The sequence below is a fragment of the Homo sapiens genome, chromosome 7 (genome assembly GCF_000001405.40).
Source record: "Homo sapiens chromosome 7, GRCh38.p14 Primary Assembly".
Lineage (NCBI taxonomy): Eukaryota > Metazoa > Chordata > Mammalia > Primates > Hominidae > Homo > Homo sapiens.
The window spans coordinates 23,136,838-23,159,604 of record NC_000007.14 but is presented as its reverse complement, the minus strand read 5'-3'; the positions used below and the strand labels follow the sequence as shown (position 1 = coordinate 23,159,604).

Below are 22,767 nucleotides of genomic sequence, written 5' to 3'. Positions count from 1 at the left end.
AACCGAGATCACGCCACTGTACTCCAGCCTGGGCAACAGAGTGAGACCTTGTTTCAAAGAAGAAGAAGGAGAAAATCCTAACTGACTTGCCTAAGGTCATATCTAGAAAAAAGATAAAAGGAAAAAAAGATCTCAGCCAGGCTTGGTGGTTCAGGTACTTTTATCCCAGTGCTTTGGGAGGCCAAGGCAGGAGGATGGCTTTAGACTGGGAGTTCAAGACCAGCCTGGGCAACATAGTGAGACCCTTGTCTCCACACAAAAAAATTTTTTTTAAATGGCCATGTGTGGTGATGCACGCCTGTAGTCCCTGCTACTTGGGAGGCTGAGGTGGGAGAATCACTTGAGGCCAGGAGGTTAAGGCTGCAGTGATTACCACTGTACTCCACCCTGTCTGACAGAGGAAGACCCTGTTTTAAAAACAAAACAACAAAAAGATCTCACAAAAGACAAAAGACCAATGATCTAGTCCTTCAGCTCTTCCACCTATGTCTAATTTCCTTTTTTTTAAAAAGTGCAGTCCAGTTAGATTCCATTCAGTTATACAATACTTTTGGGGGCTTTTATGAAAAATTTTAATAATCATACTCACCAAGTCAAGATGCATTCATACCCAGGATTCAATATACTTTTAAGTCTTTTCTCTTTCTTCCTACCCAAACCCTACGAGTAAGTCTCCCTCAAGAAAACTTCCATGAAGCTTCCACAGAGGTTTCCTGGTTGACATATCTGACCCAGGGAGCTCTCTTCTTTCCATGCCACCAACACAGTCATTGTCTATCACACATCAGGACAATTAACTGTTAAGTTCAGCAGAGGTGTTGACAGCCACCTCTGTGCTAACTGCTGTGTGCTTATGTGTACACCTCACGCACTGTGTGTGTGAGGACAGGGTCCTGTAGTATGTGTCTTTCATATCCCTTGCTGGTGTCCAACCCACAAATTTAAAATCCTATATGAACCATGAATATATGCTAAAATATTACTTATTTAAACATACTTTTACAACCAGCTAACCATACAACACACTCTGTTGTTAGTAACAGGTAAGGATAATTATCTTTTATAGCTGGATCACCAAATTTTCATAGAAAATAATCCATACCAAATCTAACTGAATATGATTCAATACTTCTGAGGTGACAGCTCTTAATGCACCTCTGGGTCAACATATGAACAATTACCAAAGGTAACCAATATTAATTATTGGTGACATGGTCTAGTAAAGAGTGTGAATTCCCTGTTAACCTCAGCTTGACTTATCCCTTCAGCCCTGTGCTCATGGACCCACTGCTCTCTTGCTACCTCCCAAAGGCTAGAGTCCCTTAAAACCCCACCCCAGGCTGGCTGTGGTGGCTCACATCTATAATCCCAGAACTTTGGGAGGCTGAGGCAGGAGGACTGCTTGAGTCCAGAAGTTCAAGACCAGCCCTGGCAACACAGAGAGACCCCTGTTGCTACAAAAAATGAAAAAAATTAGTGGGGTGTGGTGGCAAGTGCCCAAAGTCCCAACTACTAGAGAGGCTGAGGTGGGGGATCACTTGAGCCTGGGAGGTCAAGGCTGCAGTGAGCCACGGCCGTGCCACTGCACGCCAGCCTGGGTGACAGAGCAAGACCCTGTCTCAAAAACACGACACAACACAACTTCACGGAGATAACATTCCCATTTTCCTCATTTCTTCCCATTTACAGCCTTCAATCGAATATGTGCAGCTCTGTTTCCACTCTCCCTGACCCTTTTTAGAGTGATCTGTTAATTTATAATTAAGGCCAGCTGTGGCTATGGAGAATGAGTTTGATGTCATGACTCCCAGCACCAGTCATATTTTCACTGGGGGTTTCTTGGAGATGCAGTGACATAACACAAAGAGAAACAAATCTTTGAATGTGGGGACTTCAGGCACTATACCAAGGTGGGGTGGAAGGGGCTGTGAAGTTGATTTTAGAACAAAACTACCGACCAGTGTATTATGGAGGTACTTGAAAAGAAATTGAGACTCTCTATTTTGGAAGACCTTCTAGGAAACCAGAGCATATAACTGAGAACTTACCTCAGGATGTGATTTACTCTCTTCTTTACATGAACATGAAGACCACCTGTCTAACAAACTGCCTTCAAAGAATCAGGGAGAATACCTTTCATGCACAAACTGCAGAGAACACTGTTTACCCCTGGCTGCCCATGATGCTGACAACTAAGGAAGCTTAAGGGATACTCATGATGACCCACACCTGCATCTCAGCAATGTCAGCTGCTGGGGCCTGCAGCTAGAGGTCCACCTCATCTGGGATGATTGCTGCCTATTTTAGATATTTTGTTCTTGTAGGTGCTTCTGATCATTGTAGCAGTGTTCACATTTTTACTTCTGTGTAGTACTTCTAGAGCTCTTTGCTGGTGACAAACGCTACTGATATACTGCTATAAAACTCTCAATTTTTTGTGATGTAACACCATTTTCCTTTAAGGTTTATACTTCATTTATGCACATGATCTTTTAAAATCGTACACAATTTATAACTGCTGATTTCCGCCATGATCACAGGGTGGGACTGTTTCCTCCTTAGGGAGGACCTGTTTAAGAGGGAAGGCGGCTATGATACAGGCACTGCAATATCTTTAATATAAAATATTTCTGACAGGAAAATGTGTCCCAAGTTAAAGATAACTTCTTTTTCTCTTCTTTTATTTAGAGCCTTCTATATTTAGATCCAGTCTTATAAAACCAACTGAGAAAATTATGTAAAGTTATATTGGTTCATTCATCCTTATAAACTTGAGTACTCACCCTGTGCCAGACACTGAGCTCAGTAATGAGTCTACCTTAGAGTTCTGAATATGAAAATGCACCCAGGGTAAACCTTCTGAACCTGGTAGTTCCATGAATAGGGTGCCACATAGTTTTCTGCCTTAGTAATTTACAGGCTCTGGCCCTCGCCCTGCTAGTCTTACTACTAGTTTATTGTTGGCAGGGAATATGCAGAGTCCCATATTCTCCAGGGCATAGTCTCCCGTTTCTCCACCGTATGAAGCCAAGATCCTTACAAAGCCCCAGCTCACCATTTCACTGGGAGGAGGAATCCAAATAAAAACTGATCAGTTAAGTCAACTTTTATTTAGGTATTAATATCGTAAGACATTACCATGTTACAGACTGAGAACACCAATACTAGGATAAATAGAACACTGAATACATAACTCTTTTAGAAACCACTAAGCACTTGATGATTTAAAAACATACAGGATGGGAAGAGGCAGCTCAATAGGCTTTATAAAAGGATGATAACAAGAAAAATATCATTTCAATTCAATATAGCAACCCAAGACTTCTTTTTCTGTCAATATTCAGAAAAAAGATTTTTCTTTGCTATAACTTTTTAGTCATCAATAAATACAAATATTTGCCTCCTGTCACCAATGAAATACAAGAACTATAACTGATGGAATGAAAATGTTTTTATTGGTAGTTCATTCCTCAATTATTTAAATTTTCCCATAAATTTTCAAAGTGCAATTAGGAATGACTCATTTATAAGAGCAAGGCAAGACAACAAATGAGAATTCTGAAGTTACAGTCTCACTTCCAGGCTCGTGTAGAAGAATATGCATCTCTTTTCAACTGTCCAATAAAAAAAAATCAAGGAAAGAATTAGAACTACAGACTAAAAATAAAGTGCTAAGAGTCATCCCACATTTGCCTTATTCTAGGAACAATGCTCCCTGCCTCCTAAATGAACTCAGAATTCTTCTTGCCCATCTGTACATCAAAATAGCCATCTACTTTATTTTAAAATAAAATATTTTCCACCAACACTTGGCTTAATTGCTTTTTAACTGCCAAAATCAACACCATAGTTATGGTTTGGGAAACAAATTGGGTGTAATTATTATTAATCTATAGTTTTTAGGATTACAATTTTTGTTTTGTTTTGTTTTGTTTTGTTTTTTTGGTTGCTGTTCTCTTGTTGCCCAGGCTGGAGTGCAGTGGTGTGATCTCAGCTCACTGCAACCTCCACCTCTCGGGTTCAAGCGATTATCCTGCCTCAGCCTCCCCAGTAGCTGGGATTACAGGCGCCTGCCACGACGCCTGGCTAATTTTTTGTAGCTTTAGTAGAGATGGGGTTTCACCATGTTGCCCAGGCTGGTCTCAAACTCCTGACCTCAGGTGATCCACCCACCTTGGGCTCCCAAAGTACTGGGATTACAGGTGTGAGCCACCGTGCCTGGCCTAGAATTACAATTTAAACTATCATTTCAGTTTTTCTTTGGGGAAAAAAAAAGTTTATAATTTTCCTGTTCTTCACTCAAAAGGATCCTGAAAAATTAAAAAACACAAATAGCCATTGCCGGTGTCCTCACAGTGAGGACACTGTGCTTATTGGATAGCACACAGGCCATGAATTCTCACGGCACCTGCTAGTCACTCAGTCTTCTATTGAGAAAGCCAGATTTCTGTAGGTAAAAAGTCAGCCTATATTCTGGAGATGAAGGAATAGACCAGAAATTGATGTCTGAGCCAAGAGCGGGCCAATAGGGACAGTCCAAATATGATGGTGATTAACAAATCTAACCTGATCCTTCCCTCCTTGGGGAGGTGTTTTTGCTATCTGGTGGCATATTTGCTCTATGGGTATGGTGTTAAGTGTTATGGTAAGAAAGAGAAACTGATGGAAGTTTCTTTCTCTACCAAAATATAAGAGGAACTGCTTGCCTTGGAGGAACTGCTGAGACTGGTAACTTTGTTACAAGAGGGCCAGATATAGTCTTCTTACTGGATCAGATTAATATAACCAGGAAAACTTGCCATATAGCTAACACTTTGGCTAACGCATATTTCTGTTTCTATCTACCCAGATCATTAGATTGAATTCCTTTTCAGCTGGCAGGGAAAATTTTTAAATGTCATGGTCTGACCTCAAGGATCCCTTGACTCTTTAGCTCTATGCCATAATCTAAGCTGCAGGCATCCTGGACCATCTCACCTTCCCAAGGTCACATACTGGTCTCCTGTGTTGATGCGCGTAATGCTAACCATTTCTGGAGACCAGAAAATGGAAAGGATCCTATATGTCTTGGTAAGAAATGTTGCTTGACAGGACAGAAGATAAGTTAGCCTAGAATACAGTGCTGATTGCTTCAAAGTCCCTAGATGTTCTTAGGTCTAGAGCAGAGGTTGGCAAACTATGGCCTGAAGGCCAAATCCACCCCCTTAGCTGGTTTTGTAAATAGTCTTTTTTTGTTTGTTTGTTTGTTTTGAGACATAGTCTCACTCTGTTGCCCAGGCTGGAGTGCCGTGGCGTGATCTCAGCTCACTGCAACCTTCACTTCCTGGGTTCAAGTGATTCTCCTGCCTCAGCCTCCCGAGTAGCTGACATTTCAGACATGCACTGCCATGCCCAGCCAATTTTTTGTATTTTTAGTAGAGACGGAGTTTCACCATGTTGGCCAGGCTGGTCTCAAACTCCTGACTTCAGGTGATCCACCCACCTTGGACTCCCAAAGTGCAGGGATTACAGGCATGAGCCACTGCACCTGGCCTGTAAATAAAGTCTTATTGGAACACAGCCATGACCATTTGCTTATGTATTGTTTATGGCTGCTTTCCTGCAACTGGGTCAGAGAATGAATGGCATGCAAAGCTGAAAATACTTACTCTGGCCCTTTATAGAAAAGTCTGTGGAGCCCTGATCTACAGCATGTTGGAAGAACCCCTTGAAAATGGACAGCTTGCTGACCCCTAGCACCTCCTACATATTAGAGATGGCATATGGTTATTACACTTCTGGGTAAACTGCAAAGCTATCAGTTACAAGTAAAATCTAGAGTAGGAGAAATCTTTCTAAGTGGGACAGGCTACAGTAGTATGGCTCAACTGCCTGTGATCCTGGGGCATTAGGATGCTGCATATAGCTTGAGGTATGTCTCAATATAATCAGAGCATGCCCCAAATTCTGGAGCAAGGCCAGCCTCCTTTATGCAGGTATCATTCTTTCAGTAGACAATTCCCAGCTGCCCATGAGGTTCTGACAGATGGCAAATGTCTAACACCAAGGGAAACCAGGTGACCATGTCATTAACCCATCTTGAACAATTTTACCTGACCTGCCTAGCCACAAATACAGCATGCCTTCAACCAACAATGTAGCATGTAAATGCAAGACTGGGCTTACGGAGGTTCCAAAGGCACAAAATACCCAAATAGACTAATGACAGTGCTTATCCAGTAGCCCTTCACTTAATTCACTATCTTTCTCCCTCACCCAGGACTGTGCCTTCATGGAGGGGTGTCACTAATATATCAGCTAACAAACTTGAGAGGCCTGGGCTTGGTTCACTTTTGATAGTAATAGCCAATAATGAGCTGCAGAAGCGTTGTAGCCCCCCCGCCGCCTCAGGAATTGTTTTGAAGGACAATATGAAGGAAAGTGTTCTGACTTGACAGAATTCCAAGCAGTTCATTTTATTGTCCATTATACCTTTTAGGAGAGAAAGCCTAAGGTCAGTTTTTATCAAGTCTTGGGCAGTTGCTAGTGGTTTATCCAGAAGGATGTAGGCTTGAAATAATGCTCTGGTCTCATCAGGTATCTATCCAACCAAAAATGGGTTTGCAAAATCATGAAAGAGATCATTATGTGTTTGGATTCAGCACCACTTATGGATATCACCTTGCAAGTTTGGGGTGTTATCCTTTAGGATGTGGTATTTGCTCTTCCCCAGCAATACATGTAGTACCAGAAAAATATGGTATTCTTTCTCCCACAGCCAAAACACACAGGTCTATGAAACAAGGAGTAGAAATGTGAGTGGACCGTCTTAAGGTTATAAGTAATGATCTATTAAAAATTTTTTTATTCCTATACCTATGACTCAAGCTCTCCTGACCCAGTTGGTCGGCATGATATGTAATGAAAAGTTCACTAAACTTGGTGATCATTTCTAGGTGGTTCAAATAAAGGTCATTTAATCTTTTTTCTTTGTGGTTTTCTAGGGTTTCCAAATATTCTAGAATGACTATGTGTTATTTCATATTAAAATTATTAAGGGGAAAAAAACAAACAAATTTGGCCCAGAAAGAGATTTTCATTGAAAATGGGACATAAGGAAGAAACTGTAATGAATGCAAGGAGCTGCTGACATAAAGGGGTGAGGAAGAACTAGTTTCCCTTTTTCTTTGACAGTGGTTACCACGCAGCATTCCAGAACAATTAAGGAAACATTTGGAATCTAAGCCTGATTTCCTTATCTGTAAAATGATCTATGTATCTCATAACATATGTGAAAGAACACCATAAACTATCATCTCTAAAGGTATGAGTTATTACTACTTCTAGTTGGTGAGTGTCTTATGTGTTCAGTGATTTCAAAGACAACAACAAAAACCAAGAATAAAAATTAGTTACCTTTGGGTTAAAATATCTACAAGACTGTGGTTGAGAGCCTCCAAATAGGGCTATGCGGTAGTCATGTTTCTTTCTTCTAGGTCTTGTGCCATCTACAAGTTCTTCTCGGTCCTCTGGAGACAGTAGATGGTACCTCATTCCACCTGTAGTAAAATACATGGCAACGCTTCAAGAACTTCAGGCACTAACCAGTGCTTTGAAAACGAAATACCCAGACATAATAGGGCCTTTATTTCAGTAACTTACTTTTATGATATCTCTATAGCATTTGAGGAAAGTGAGGGGGAAGAGGCAGGAGAAATGCATAAGGATCCGAGTACTAACCAATTCATTTATTCTCAGCAATCACCATTATTCTAAGACTGCCCCACCCAGTAAGCAACTACTATGTACCAGTGAATTATCTGGCTCCTCAAGCAACAGCTGCCAAAATAATAATTATTGAAATCCAGATCTCCTAACCCAGTGGTTCTTGATCTTTACATTAGAATCACCTAGAAAATCTCTGAAACTATTGATACCTGGGACCTACCACAGACTAATTAAATAAAAATCTCTAGGTAGTGTTTAGGAATTGGTATTTTAAAGGGCTTCTTAAATCTTGCCACTTAAAATGTGGTTCAAAGACCACCTGCTTCAGCATTTGGGAGTTTGTTAGAAATGCTGAATCCCAGGCCCCTATCCCAGACCTACTGAATCAGCATCTGCATATTTAACACCCCACGGTAATTAGGATGTACATAAAACTTTGAGAAGCACTGTCTTAGATGACTCTAAAATGCAATAAGGTCAGAACTACTGTGATCTGTCATGATCCTTTTCCTTCAGCAATTCCTTAATTTTGTCAGTGCCACTTAACAATCAAAAACTGTTAAAGTATCATTTCAAATCAGTGTGGGAAAGGAGGATGGTCTATGTTAGACAACAATATGAAGAAAGAAATTATACCCCTACCTCATATTTCACTCTCAATTTCAAATCAATAAAAATCTGAATATATAAACCCATAAATGCACTAAAAGCTTAAAAAAAAGAAAAGAAAAAAAAAAAAACAAAACAGGCCCAGAATGGAGAAGCCTAAGAATGACCAAAAACATAGGAGCCAGAAAAAATTGTTCAGACTTAACTATATGAAATTTTGTTTAAGTTAAAATAGTGCATGGCAAAAAGAAAAGGCAGAATTAAAAGATGACAAACTAGGAAAATATTTATAAATAATAAAAAATACTATTAAAAGACACTTTATTAATTTATAAGAATTACCAGCAACTTAACCAAAAATTGGTGAAGTATCTGAATATAGTTCACAGAAAAAGAACTATAACTCTTAAACATATGAAAAGATGCTTGAGTGCTCTAGTTAGAAAAATACAAATTAAAATCATACTTTTTTCACTTATCAGATTGGCCAAGATCAAACTGCCTGGACCACAGGGTATAATATGGTTGTATCGGGGGAGGCAGCACTCTCTTCCATTGATGGTGGGGATGTGGATGGGTATAACCATGGGAAGGGTGATATAGCCCAATCTACAAAAATTATAAATGTATACACCCTTTAACCCAGGAATTCCCCTTTCTAGGAGTTTATCAATCTAAAGTTCACTGTTAGGGAAGTGGTTAAAAAATTATGCTATGTCTATACAATAGAACATTATATGTGGCTGTTAAGATGAGAAAGATTAGTATGTACGCATGGAATGATCTCCAATAAATAATATGGAATGAAAAAAAGCAAGATGTAGAACAGTACGCAGAGTGCACTACTGTTTGTGTTAAAAATGTATATTTTAATGCAAATATACAAATTTTACACATGTAATTTATACATGGATATATAAGTAAATGACTGTATGCACAATCTCAAGACTACCTCTGGAAGGGTATATACAAGATAATAATGTTAATCTCCAGGGTAAGAGAATGAGAGAGTAGGGAAAAGGGGTATCAGGGAGACTTACTTTTCACTATGTATCCTTTTAATACCTTTTGAATTGTACAATATTATCAATCTAAAAATAAAATAAGGCCATTTTATTTTATTTTTTTCTAGAGCCAGGGTCTTGCTCTGTCACTTGGGCTGGAGTGCGGTGGTGCCATAACAACTCACTATAACCTTGAACTCTTAGGCTCAGCAGTCCTCTCACATCAGCCTCCCAAAGCACTGGGATTGCAGGCCTGAAACAGCATGCCTGGCCCAAAAATTCCTGACACATGCAAAACATTTCTATAAATGAGGCTATGTTGGGTCTTTATTAAAAGGATAGAGAAAGAAAACTCATTTGGAGAATAGTTGGTGAATTAATGAACATCTTTATCAATATTTATCATTTCTTCCATTTCAGAGTTTGAGTAGAAGCTCTTTTGCATTCAAACAGCTGGATATTTCAGAGGCCAAGGCATGCTGACGCAAGCTCTAGGTCAGGGGTCTGAAAACTTTTTCTGTAAAGGGACAGATAGACTTTGCAGGCCACATATGGTTTCTGTGGAATATTCTTTGTTTATTTTATAATCCTTTACAATTGTAAAAAATCACATTAGCTCAAGTCTGCATTTAGCCTGTGGGTAGTTCTTGAAGTGTGCTTCCATAACCAGCAGCATCAGTATCATCTGGAAGTGTGTTGAAAATCCTAATTATTGAACACTAACCCAGACCTTCTGAATCAGAAATGCTAGGGAGGGGTTTGAGAGCCACTGCTCTAGGATGGTTCCACACAGGCTGAAAGTGGACTGTGTAGTCTATGAACGCAATATTCCCAGTAAGAGAAAGGTAGGAGGGAAGGAGAGAGACAAGAGGGAACTGTTTCCACCAACAGGCCATGTGGTAAAAGTGGCTGACCATGGCCAACTGTGCTGACACACTGGAGGAGGCATGCCTTTGGCTCTTTCACTAATGGGCCTTTTTTTTCCTCCCCAAGAATAGGGCTGGGGGACACTTTGGTATCTTTCTCTGAGGAGCTAATTGTTGCTTAGGCTTATTCCTTTGGGAGTTATTCTTTCCAGATTTAGGTATAATCATTTCTAAATTTTCAGTAAGAAGTTGGCCTGGCCCTTTGTGGTGGCTTTGGCTGTGCACTTCATTTGTATTTTGTAATTCATTTTCTTTTGGATGTAAAATTTTTAAGCTTAGTTTTATGTTATTTTTCAACCGTCTTTTCTGTTTTTCTTCTACTCTGGAAAGGCAACAAAGTCCGGTGGTAGGAAGACAACTGATGATCTGAAAAAGAAAGGCTGGAAGCCTTTCCCCAGTTTAGCTCTGCCCAGGCCCCAAAGCTTGGAAGCTTCTCAGCTGCTTGTGCTTAGTCAAGGAGTAATAGAACAATCCACTATTATTTATTTTAAAAAAGGAAAAGAAAAAATGTAATAAGCCTAGTAAGTTAAACTAAACAACAAAGCATCCTGCTCAAGTGTCTAATCCTCACACTTGGTTGAATTTCTGAAATAATACTGCTATCCTGTTTCTTAATCAGTTCAGAATCCATGTAATAACTAAACACTAGATTCTGAGACTGGCTGGTTGTTTTCAACAGCCCAGACCATGTATGAAGAAATAGAAATTCTAAGGCCAGAAAAATAACACACAGTTTGGGAATTGGGCATAACAAAAAACCTGATACTAGCATGTACAAAATCTAAGAGACAAAAGTCCTAATGTAAAGGCATCTTCTTGGTCCTGATTTTCTTTCCTCTCTGCATTTAAAGAGACAAGTGGCCATGTACGTTCTATCTTCTAAACACTCTCTTATACCATGGTTTTCCAAGACACTAGCCTTTGGTTCAAGTAGCTTTGGGGCTGCTGTTTTTTTTTTTTTTTAATTTTCTTGTACCCCTTAAATATAGGTATTTGTAAGGATGTGTCCTTGACACACATCTCTTCTCCTTTTCCTTTGACAACCTCGACTAGGTTCAAACACACTTAGTCTTTTTCAGTTTTGTTTTCATTTAATTAAAAAAAATATGCATTTGGCACTTATGAAAATTTTCATTATTAGATATCCATGTAAAATATTTTTAGTAACTATAGAACATTGCATTGTATGGATATATTTCTTTCCAATCTATGGACAACATTGGGTCTACTTACCTAAAACCCCATCATACTAGTAAGCAGTAGCTATGTGATAAGTCTAATGAAAATACTGGAAACCTAGAAATTGTTTTTATTGGCTGTATGAGGCAGAGGAGATAAAGTCTTGGATCTGCTCAAGATAAGGAGTTGGAACTGAGATGAAGCTGGATCACTAGGATTGGTGGTTACACTTTTAGTGAAAGGATGGGCTAAGAAAAATACCTGCCCAATGGCAGAAGCAGCAGCAATAATTTGTCTGTTTCAACTTCAGCTTCAGGTAGAGGTAAAGTCTCCCTCTTTTGAGAATTTATATGGACAGTCTTACCCTCATGCAGGTTCGAGGTTTGAATTTACCCTACCTGCAAGTCTAGGAAACCATAAGCCAAAGAAAACTCAAAGTAGTCCTGGATTGTTGTGCCCTATAGAACTTGGCAAAAGCAAACACCGTTCTATTGAGGAGAAGAGAGAAGACCTGCCAGAGAACACAGAAGACACAACCTAAGCCTCCCAATATTCCTGATGATTAAGGTCAATCAAATATAAGCATACCATTCAAAATTACAAAACATATAAGGAATTACGCCACCAGAAATAAGTCAATAGAACCAACAAATAGCAGCACTGTTCCTCAGGGACTTCAGATACTGACATTACCAAACATAAAACATAAAATAACATTTGAAGAGTTTAAGGTAAAGCAAGAACTGAAAACACAAGCAAGGAAAAAAGACCATAAAAAATGACCAGGGTAGGCCAGCGTTGGTGGCTCACACCTGTAATCCCAGCACTTTGGGAGGCAGAGGTGGGCGGGTCTCTTGAGGCCAGGAGTTTGAGGCTAGCCTGACCAACATGGCGAAACCCTGTCTCTGCTAAAAATACAAAAATTATCTGGGTGTGGTGGCGCACGCCCATAATCCCAGCTACTTGGGAGGCTGAGGCACGAGAATCACTTGAACCCAGGAGGTGGAGGTTGCAGTTAGCCAAGATCATGCCACTGCACTCCAGCCTGGAAGCCAGCGAGACTGTCTAAAAAAAAAAAAAAAAAAGTCCAGGTTAATAAGTAATACATAGAAGGAAAAAGATACAATTTACAATGACAACAAAAATATCTGAAATAAATTAAGAAAATTACTCATAAGAAAATTACTCATAAGAAAATTACAAATTCTCCAGAGACACATGGCAATTTAAATGAAGTACAACAATAATTAAAAGGTATTAGAATGAAGTAGAAGAGAAACTGACTGTGTGTATGTGTACCTACACTATACTTGATCTTAGCCAAAATACTGAGAAGTGATGTGTGTACATATAGATATATGGAAATTTAGTTTAATGTGTTTCAAATCAGTGGGAAAAAATGAATTTTTCAATAATGGTATTGAGCCATCTTATCAGATATATTAGGAAAAATATTATTTATTTCACACCCAATAGATTTCAGTAAGATATAGCCTTAAAATTAAAAAAAAAAGAAGAAGAAGAAGAAGAAGAAGAACTCTATAAGTGATAAATGCACAAGAGGAAAATTTAGCTAATTTTTAAAAATCTCCTTGGAACAGGGAAGACCTTTCCAACCACATCACAAAGGAAAAGACTAGTTCAGACTTAACAATATAAAAACAACATGAGATCAGACTTGGCCATTTTAAGATCCTTTTTCTCCTCTTCTCTTGAAAGCTATCCCAAACAACAAAGAAACAAGAAACAAACACAAACTCCGTCTTTGATAGTACTAAGAGACTTGCAACCCCAAAACACAATCTATGAAGACAGCTGGCAGATGGAGTGTCTGTTAAACCTAAATGGTTGTGCCAGGAGACACCAATGAAAAGCAAGCTAAATTACCCTGCAGAGCCCTGAAAAGGCTCATAATTGGAGATACTAAGTACCTAGAAGTGCAGGTAGGGATGAAAACAAGATAACTCTAAAATACCGAACAAACGACAATTGAACTTCCAGTTCTCCTTCCCCTGTTGCACAGTCAGGTACCCACTGTACCTGTACCACTGTAGGAGACAGGATTCGTCTTTGGAAATACTGAAAGAGAAATGTTCCAGACTCAGAGAACAGCACAGAAAAGGATGGGAGTCTGAAAACATGGATTAAGGCCAGGCACTGTGGTTCATGCCTGTAATCCCAGCATCTTGGGAAGCCTCGGCAGGAGGGTTGCTTGAGCCCAGAAGTTTGAGACCAGCCTGAACAAGATAGCGAGACATCATCTTGACAAAAAAATACAAAAATTAGCTGGGCATAGTGGTGTGTGCCTGTAGTCCCAGCTACTTGGGAGGCTGAGGTGAAAGGATCACTCGTGCCGGACAGGTCAAGGCTGTAGTGAGTTGTGATTTTACCACTGTACTCCAGCCTGGGAGACTCTGTCTCAAAAAAATAAAGTAAAATAAAACAAATACAAATATGGATTAAGTGAAAGTCTGCATAGCAAAATATTACTTCATCCAGTTCCCAAATGCCTACACCCAGCTTATAGTTCCCTGAGACAATATCTACAAATACTGACATCTGGGGGTCCCCAATTTTAAAAATGACCAGCTACTCTGATTATGCTACAGTTTAGCCCAAGAACTGAGATGCCCACTCATACATACAGCCTTATCTATCAGTTTTGTAATAACTCACTCTCATATGATATAAAACCAAATATTTAAGAAAAGCTTCCAATAAAAAAAGGAAAAGGAAACTCTAATATAGAAAATACAGACAACATAAGAAAACTTCAAAAGCACTACAAAGACTACTTTAGAGTGATAAGATATTGCAGCCATGAAATAATAAATTAGAGAATAAAAACTCCAGAAATTAAAAAGTATAGCTGAAATAAAAGGGTTGAAAAAAATCAAGCTCTCTCTCAGAAAAAGGCCAAGAGACAAAGATGGATAATTAAAAAAAAAAAGAAAGAAAAGGATCAGATTGGCACTAGACTTCTCAAAATAACACTGGAAGCTAGAAGATAAATTCTAACTGAAAATGATTTTCAGCATAATTCTATCTTCAGTTTAACTATCTTTCTTTCTTTTTTAAATAGACAAGGTCTTACTCTGTTGCCCAGGCTGTAGCAGTGCAGTGGCAGGATCAGAGCTCACTGTAACCTCAAACTCCTGGGCTCAAGCAATCCTCCTGCCTCAGCCACTGGAGTAGTTGGGACCACAGGCACATGCCTCCACGCCCGGCTAGGTTTTTTTTTTTTTGGAGAGTTGGAATCTCGCTATGTTGCCCAGGTGAATCTCAAACTCCTGACCTCAAGCAATCTTCCTGTCTTGACCTACCAAAATGCTGTGATTAGAGTTGTGGGCTACTGTGCCCAGCCTCCTTCAATAATTTATGATAAAATAAACATATGAGATTTGTCAAGCCTCCAAATATTTACTGATAATATACTCTATCAGGAACCTTTTAGAGGATATGTTGCATCAAACAAAAAGAATTAAGGTAGAGGACAGCCAGGATCCAAGAAGACAACCGATCTAACAGGAGAGGAGTGAAATGGCTTCCCAGGATTGTGCAGAAGGAAACCCTAGGACAAGAACTGTGCCTCAGGCCTAGAGAGCAAACAGTTCATATTGGAATAGGCAGAAGAAAGGTTCTACAAGGCATATTTCCAAGAAAGAAAAGCAACAGATTGTTTAATTGTATAGACAATTTTATTAAGTGGCATTGTACAAAGGTGTTGAGGGGTTGGGACTTAGCCAGCAAGCAAGAAAATGGAAGCAAATGAAAACGATGTGGCAATATTTATCTCTGGGCCAAAAAAGACAAAATACTGTTTAAGAAAGAAAATGTGATCACAGTACACTACTTGGCTGAGTAAAATAAAAAAGGAAACACTAGAAACAAAAGCGCATGAAAGTTATTGTATACAAGAATAGGAAAAGCATAAGTAATTTGTACCTTCTATCACATATACCCCTATAAAATAAGGGTTGAGGCCAAGTCCCTTCCAGGTGTACAGTTCAGAAACCCAAGGGATTAACTATCTAGAAGAGCAAAATCTTGAATGTTTCTCCCTGGCTACTGAGTCTAATCCATTCTAAAGGGTTTTAAGCCCATGAGAAACTGGCTACATGATCAGGTTATAAATGGTTATTAAGGCAACTTACTTATCACCATCTTAAGGCATTCAGGATTGTCTTGAATAAGTGGTTCAGCTTGTACCGTTTTACTTAAGAAATTCTTTGATATAAGAGGAAACCTGACTTTAGCAAGGATATCAACCATAAATGGCTGGCGATTAGGTTCATCGTATTTCAACCACCTGACTGCAGCATCATAAACCTAAGGGGGAAAAACAGCACAGTAAAGTTCTTAGAAGACAGCAACATTTCCAATTACCTATGTTTACTCTCATATTGAAGGGAGAGAACCTCATAAGGAGATAACCACTTATTTCTAGTATTTTTCATCCCTGGACACTTGCTGGTTCTTCAAAACAGCTTACATACTGCTCTAGTGAGTCTTGTAGGTAATATGTTTTTTAGAACTAACTACTATTATGTAGTGTAATGACAGGGAGGATGTTGAATTTATGATTAAAAAAAAGATAGCTTCCTTTTCAGACAAAGACATGATATACATTGCACTGAAAAAAAACTATCAGTCAACAAAAGTTTCAACATATACTCATTTAGTTTAGTACCAGGAAAACAGGTTAATTTCTCAAGAGGCCGTCCATTCCAGGAGATACGAAGGTCACCCATGATTTTATTTCAATATTATATTCCTGCATTATGAATGGATAGACTTATCTGCTTTTTAGAAACTTTAAGATATAAAGAATTCTATACTTAAAAATAAATTACAGGATATTCAAAAGAATTGTCTTCCAAAATAATACTGTTGCTTCATTTAACTGCACTGAACAAGTCCAAGTTCCTCAACATAATTTAACTTACAAATCATTAAACACCCCCCAAAAAATCAATTGCTTCATATACACACACATCTCCCATACCCACTAAATTAATTTTGGGGTGATATTTGTAATTAATTTTCGAGTGATATTAATAAGGCCTAACTTCTGATCTCTTTCTGAGTTAATTTTTTATGGGAATTGGTCTTTTTTTAAACAAATTTATTTTAGAATAGTTTTAGATTTATAGAAAAGTTGCAGAGATAGCACAAAGAGTTTCCACATACCCTGCCCCAGTTGTTAAGGTGTTGCATTAGTATGGTATATTTGTCATAACTAATGAACCAATATTGACACATTAACTAAATTTCATATTTTTTTGGATTTCTTTAGTTTTTATCTAGTGTTATTTTTCTGTTCCACAATACTATAAAGAACACCATATTACATGTAGTCATTAAACCTTAGAATCTTCTAGACTGTGACAGTTTTTCAGCCTTTCCTTGTTTTTGACAACCTTGACAGTTTTGAGTTCTGGTCAGGTATTTTGTTGAGAATGTCCTTCAATATGGGTTTATCTGATGTGTTACTTATTAGACTGAGGTTATGGTTTTTTAGGAGGACGATCATAGAGGTGAATGGCATTTTCATTACATCAAGTGTGCATACTATCAACATGACATCACTGATGATGCTAATGCTGACCATCTGCAGGTACTGTTTATAACGTTTCTCCAGTGTAATGTTACTTGTTACTCCTTTTCCATACTGCATTTAAGTCAACCAATTTTGATCATGGAAGTAAATTTTTTCTATTTATCTAGTGAGGTCCTCCAGGTCCAACCTGTCAATTTGCAAATTGATACTCTGGGCCACGAAGAAGACTGGGCAAAAGAACATTGCTAAGTGCAAATTTTTGTTTTTAGAACAAAAGCAACTTAAAACATATGATCTTATAGTACCTATATTAGTTTTCTATTGCTGTTGTAACAAATTACCACAAACTTAGTGGCTTAAAATATAGAGAAGGATGTGGGGCTGAAAAGAGAGATTAAGTGAGTCTGCATATTAAAGTGTTCCCACAGCCAGGCATGGTGGCTCACATCTGTAATCCTAGCACTTTGGGAGGCTGAGGTGGGCAGGTCAACTGTTTGAGACCAGCCTGGCCAACATGGTGAAACCCCATCTCAATTAGCAGGGTGTGGTGGCACATACCTATAATCCCAGCTACTTGAGAGGCTGAGGCATGAGAATCGCTTGAACCCGGGAGGTGGAGGTTGCAGTGAGCCGTGATCATGCCACTGCACTCCAGCCTGGGCAACAGAGTGAGACTCCATCTCAAAAAAATAAATAAGGCCGGGTGCGGTGGCTCACGCCTGTAATCCCAGCACTTTGGGAGGCCAAGGCGGGCAGATCACAAGGTCAGGAGATCTAGACCATCCTGGCTAACACGGTGAAACCCCGTCTCTACTAAAAAATACAAAAAATTAGCCGGGCACGGTGGCGGGCACCAGTAGTCCCAGCTACTAGGGAGGCTGAGGCAGGAGAATGGCGTGAACTCGGGAGAAGGAGCTTGCAGTGAGCAGAGATCACGCCACTGCATTCCAGCCTGGGCAACAGAGCGAGACTCCGTCTCAATAAATGAATGAATGAATGAATGAATGAATTAAATAAAGTGTTCTCCCACCCAGCTCCCAAATGACTGCAACCAGCTTACACTTCTGACAGTTTATCTGACAGTTCTATAGGTCAGAGTCCAAAATGGGTCACAGTGGACTAAAACCAGTGTGTCTGCCTGGAGACTCTACAGGAGAAACCACTTCCTTGCCTTTTCCAGCATCTAGCAGCTGCCTGCATTCCTTGGCTTATGGTCCCCTTCCACCTTCAAAGACAGCAATGACCAGTCAAGTCTTTCTCACATTGCACCACTTGACGCTGCCTTCTTTTGCTTCCCTCTTCCAAATTTAAGGATCTTTATGATTACACTGGGCCCATTTGGATAATCTCATCTCAAAATCCTTAACTTAGTCACATATGCAAAGTCCTATCTGCCACACAGGTATATTCCAGATGCTGGGGATTGGGAAGTGGACTTCTTTGGGGAAGGCATTGTTCTGCCTACCATGGTACCCAATGGCTTTATCTCTATGAAGTGGCCTATTTCTCAAAGAGCCAGCCTGGCAAGCACCTAAGATTACAATACTCTGTTTAGTGTAAAGAACATATTCTTTCCTAATATGACTCTTTCCCTTGTCATGTGTCCAAACATGAGTTTTAAGAAACCAATAAAGACATTTTTATTAAGAAAAATGTGAGAAGGCAATTTAGTCACCTGATCCTCTGCTCTCACAGTCAGAGTGTCCTGGTTGAGAAGATGTGTTACTCGCTTGACATCAAGTTGAAGAAATTCATCAGTTTTGTAAACTTCAGTAAAGTGCTGATGAATAAAGTCATCTGCAGTTGCTTTCAATTCAGGACAATCTAGACACTCCGCTAGCACACTTATACCTAAACACAGAAAGAAAATAAAAGAATAGAAAATCATTTTTAGAAAAACCAAGTATACATTCAAGATGAAGCATGACTTCAGGAAAATTAGTTGAGTAAATTTCATAAATCTGGATCCGTTTCTGTTTCATTGATTTGTCTATTCTTGTGCCAATACTATACTGTCTTATAAAAGACTGGTTTTTTTTTTGTTTTTTGTTTTTTTGTTTTTTGAGACGGAGTCTCGCTCCATCGCCCAGGCTGGAGTGCAGTGGCGCGATCTCGGCTCACTGCAAGCTCCGCCTCCCAGCTTCACGCTATTCTCCTGCCTCAGCCTCCCGAGTAGTTGGGACTACAGGTGCTCGCCACCACGCCTGGCTAATTTTTTTTGTATTTTTTAGTAGAGACGGGGTTTCACCGTGTTAGCCAGGATGGTCTCGATCTCCTGACCTCGTGATCCGCCCACCCTGGCCTCCCAAAGTGCTGGGATTACAGGCATGAGCCACCGCGCCCAGCTGGTTTTTATATTCTGTAGGAGAAGCCCCCTTCAATGTGTTTTCAAACTTTTCTTGGCTATTGTTAAACATTTTCTCTTGCAGACAAATTTTAAAATAAGCTTATCACATTCTACTTTACAAAATCTCCATGTGATATTAATCAGAATTGCACTGAACTTTTGTATTACTTTGGGACAACTTCTGCAGCATGGAGGAGCTCCACTTAAAAACATGACATACATCAAACTTATTCAGATATAAACTTTTATGTCAGGAGTCTGCAAAGTACTGTTTATGGGCAAAATCTAGCCCATAGCCTGTTTTGTAGGGTCAGCAACTAAGAATAGCTTTTACATTTTTTTTGAAAGGTTAAGGAAAAAAAAAAAAAGAGGAGGAGAAAAGGGAGAAGTGAAGACGGAAAGGAAAGGAGGAGGGATAAGGACCACATGTGGTCCATAAAGCCTAAAATATTTACTTTTCTGATCCTTTACAGGAAAAGTCTGCTCCCTCTTCTATATAAAACTACAAATTATTTTTGTATGTGATCAAGTGGCAAGCATCCTTAATCATGTTGACTTTTTTTCAATTCATTATCTGTTTTTCCATGTTTCAATTTCACATTGTCTTCATTTAATGAATTTTGATGCTTTCATATTTGTGCCATAAAGGTTCTCAAAGCTGATGCTTGTTAACCAACTTAGATTAGCTGGCATTTTCCACCTCCTTTGTAAAATTTACTAACCAATGCCATGACATGTTTGATGCTCATGGTGAAAAGTTGGCTGTATTTGTACACTTCTAATAGTTTCACCCAGTAGTATTCCTATTTTAAGGATTATTATTTTTGCTTATTTAAACATCAGAAATGGCTACTGAAATCACAAAAGGTGCCTTCAGCATCTGCTGCTATGATTTTATGTACTCAGTTTTCTCCTACAGCTTGTTAGCATAGTAAATTATGTTACTAGATTTCTTGACATTGAAATGATTGAACCATTGTGTCATTTTTAAAGTAAATCCTAGCTGGTCACAAAGCATTATTATTTTTAAAATAAACTTCATTTTTTTCAGAGCAGTTTTAGGTTTATAGCAAAACTGAAGAAACATTACAGAGTTCCCATGTCCCTGTTGTCACCACACATGCATAACCTTTCCCACTATCCCCATTCCACACGAGGGGTATTCTTGTTTTTTTTTTTTTTTTAGCATTAATAAATCTTTTTCAATGAAACTAAAATGTTATATGTGTTTGTACACATACACGTATATACAAGCCCACACTTTCTTCATCCAATGTTGCTATTATGGTAACCCTACCCCAGGAGAATGAGCTGGCAAGTTTTCTACCCTTTCTAGAGATTTAGAACAATTTAAATAACGTAAGAATTAATCTATTCTTTGAAAGGTTGATAGAATTAACCCACAAAGCCTTCAAGCCTGGAGCACTAATTAGAAATACATCTTCATGGTGGCTCATGCCTGTAATCCCAGCACTTTGGGAGGCCTAGGTGGGGATCACTTGAGGTCAGGAGTTTGAGACCAGCCTGGCCAACACGGTAAAACCCCATCTCTACTAAAAATACAAAAATCAGCTGAGTGTGGTGGCGCGCATCTATAATCCCAGCTACTCAGGAGGCTGAGGCAGGAGGATCACTTGAACCCGGGAGGCAGAGGTTGCAGTGAGCTGAGATTGGGCCACTGCACTCCAGCTGGGGCGACAAAGTGAGACTGTCTCAAAAAGAAAAAAGAAATACATCTTTACTTTTTTGATTGTTTCTGAGGTTACTGGCTTCAGGTTTTATACCTTCTTTTTTTTTTTTTTTTTTTTTTTAAGATGGAGTCTTGCTCTGTCGCCCAGGCTGGAGTGCAGTGGCCCGATCTCGGCTCACTGCAAACCCCACCTCCCAGGTTTCAAGTAATTCCCTACCTCAGCCTCCCAAGTAGCTGGGAGTACAGGCGCATGCCACCATGCATAGCTAATTTTTGTATTTTTAGTAGAGACGGGGTTTCACCATCTTGGCCAGGCTGGTCTTAAACTCCTGACCTCATGATCCACCCGCCTTGGCCTTCCAAAGTGCTGGGATTACAGGTGTGAACCACCGTGCCTTTTTTTTCTTGAGACGGAGTCTCAGTCTGTTGCCCAGGCTTGAGTGCAGTGGCACGAACTCGGCTCACTGCAACTTCTGCCTCCCAGGTTCAAGCAGTCCTCCTGCCTCAGCCTCCTGAGTAGCTGGGATTACAGGCACCAACCAGCACGCCAGGCTAATTTTTGTATTTTTGGTAGAGGTGGGGTTTTACCATGTTGGCCAGGCTGGTCTCGAACTCCCGACCTCAAGTGGTCCGCCCGCTCAGCCTCCCAAAGTGCTGGGATTACAGGCATAAGCCACCATGCCTGGCCAGGTTTTATGCTTTTTAAGACAATTTTGGGCTGGGCACAGTGGTTTATGCCTGTAATCCCAGCATTTTAGGAGTCACCGTGCCCAGCCCAAAATTGTCTTAAAAAGCATAAAACCTGGCCAGGCGTGGTGGCTCATGCCTGTAACCCCAGCATTTTAGGAGGATGAGGCGGGCAGCTCACTTGAGGTCAGGAGTTCGAGACCAGCCTGGCCAACATGGTGAAACCCTGTCTTTACCAAAAATACAAAAATTAGCCGGGCATGCTGGTGGGTGCCTGTAATCCCAGCTACTCAGGAGGCTGAGGCAAGAGGACCACTTGAGCCTGGGAGGCGGAGGTTGCAGTGAGCCGAGATCACACCACTGCACTCCACCCTGGGCGACAGAATGAGACTCTGTCAAAAAAAAAAAAAAGACAGTTTTGGTCACTGCCTTTTGCTTTCATGTCTATAGTTCTAATTCTTGATGCTGTTCTTTGATCTTTTCTTCTTGATAAGACTTGTTAAGTCTGAGGTTATTTTGTATCATTCTTTGAAATACTTAGCTTTAGTTTTTCCAAGTCTATAGTCTATTAGTTTTATTTCTCTGCTTTATTATTTTTTCTTTTCTTGAGATGGAGTCTCACTCACTCTGTCGCTTAGGCTGGAGTGCAATGGCGCAATCTCAGCTCACTGCAACCTCCGCCTCTGGAGTTCAAGTGATTCCCCCGCCCCAGTCTCCTGCGTAGCTGGGATTATAGGCACACACCACCATGCCTGGCTAATTTTTGTATTTTTAGTAGAGATGCGATTTCCCCATGTTGGCCAGACTGGTCTCGAACTCCTGACCTCAGGTGATCCGCCCACCTTGGCCTCCCAAAGTGCTGGGATTACAGGTGTGAGACACTGCACCTGGCCTAATCTATATTTTAAATCATATTTTTTATACTTTTATTAGGTGTTTACAAATTATTTTTCTCTGAGTAGGATACATAAGTCAAGAAAGAATAAAAATAAATACATTTATTTGGAAAAAAATTTAAGGCTACCAATTTCCTTCTAAGAAATACTTTGGTTATATTC

The 22,767-nt window shown here is 39.7% G+C and overlaps 1 protein-coding gene across 6 annotated transcripts in view; it reads right to left on the bottom strand.

Moving 5' to 3' along the window:
• KLHL7 (kelch like family member 7) overlaps positions 1–22,767 on the bottom strand; it is a 72,130-nt gene that overhangs the window by 18,310 nt on the left and 31,053 nt on the right. For 3 of the 6 annotated variants that reach the window (XM_006715757.5, XM_017012440.3, XM_047420615.1), the window contains 4 exons: positions 18,661–18,836; positions 15,580–15,754; positions 7,396–7,538; positions 3,092–3,614 (listed from right to left, as the gene is read on the bottom strand). In XM_006715757.5, coding sequence (XP_006715820.1) covers positions 3,573–3,614; positions 7,396–7,538; positions 15,580–15,754; positions 18,661–18,836 — 536 coding nt within the window. In that variant the 3' untranslated portion in view covers positions 3,092–3,572. Of the gene's footprint in view, positions 1–3,091; positions 3,615–7,395; positions 7,539–15,579; positions 15,755–18,660; positions 18,837–22,767 lie in introns of those variants that run through there. The other 3 variants (NR_033328.2, NM_001031710.3, NM_018846.5) reach the window with 1 other exon arrangement.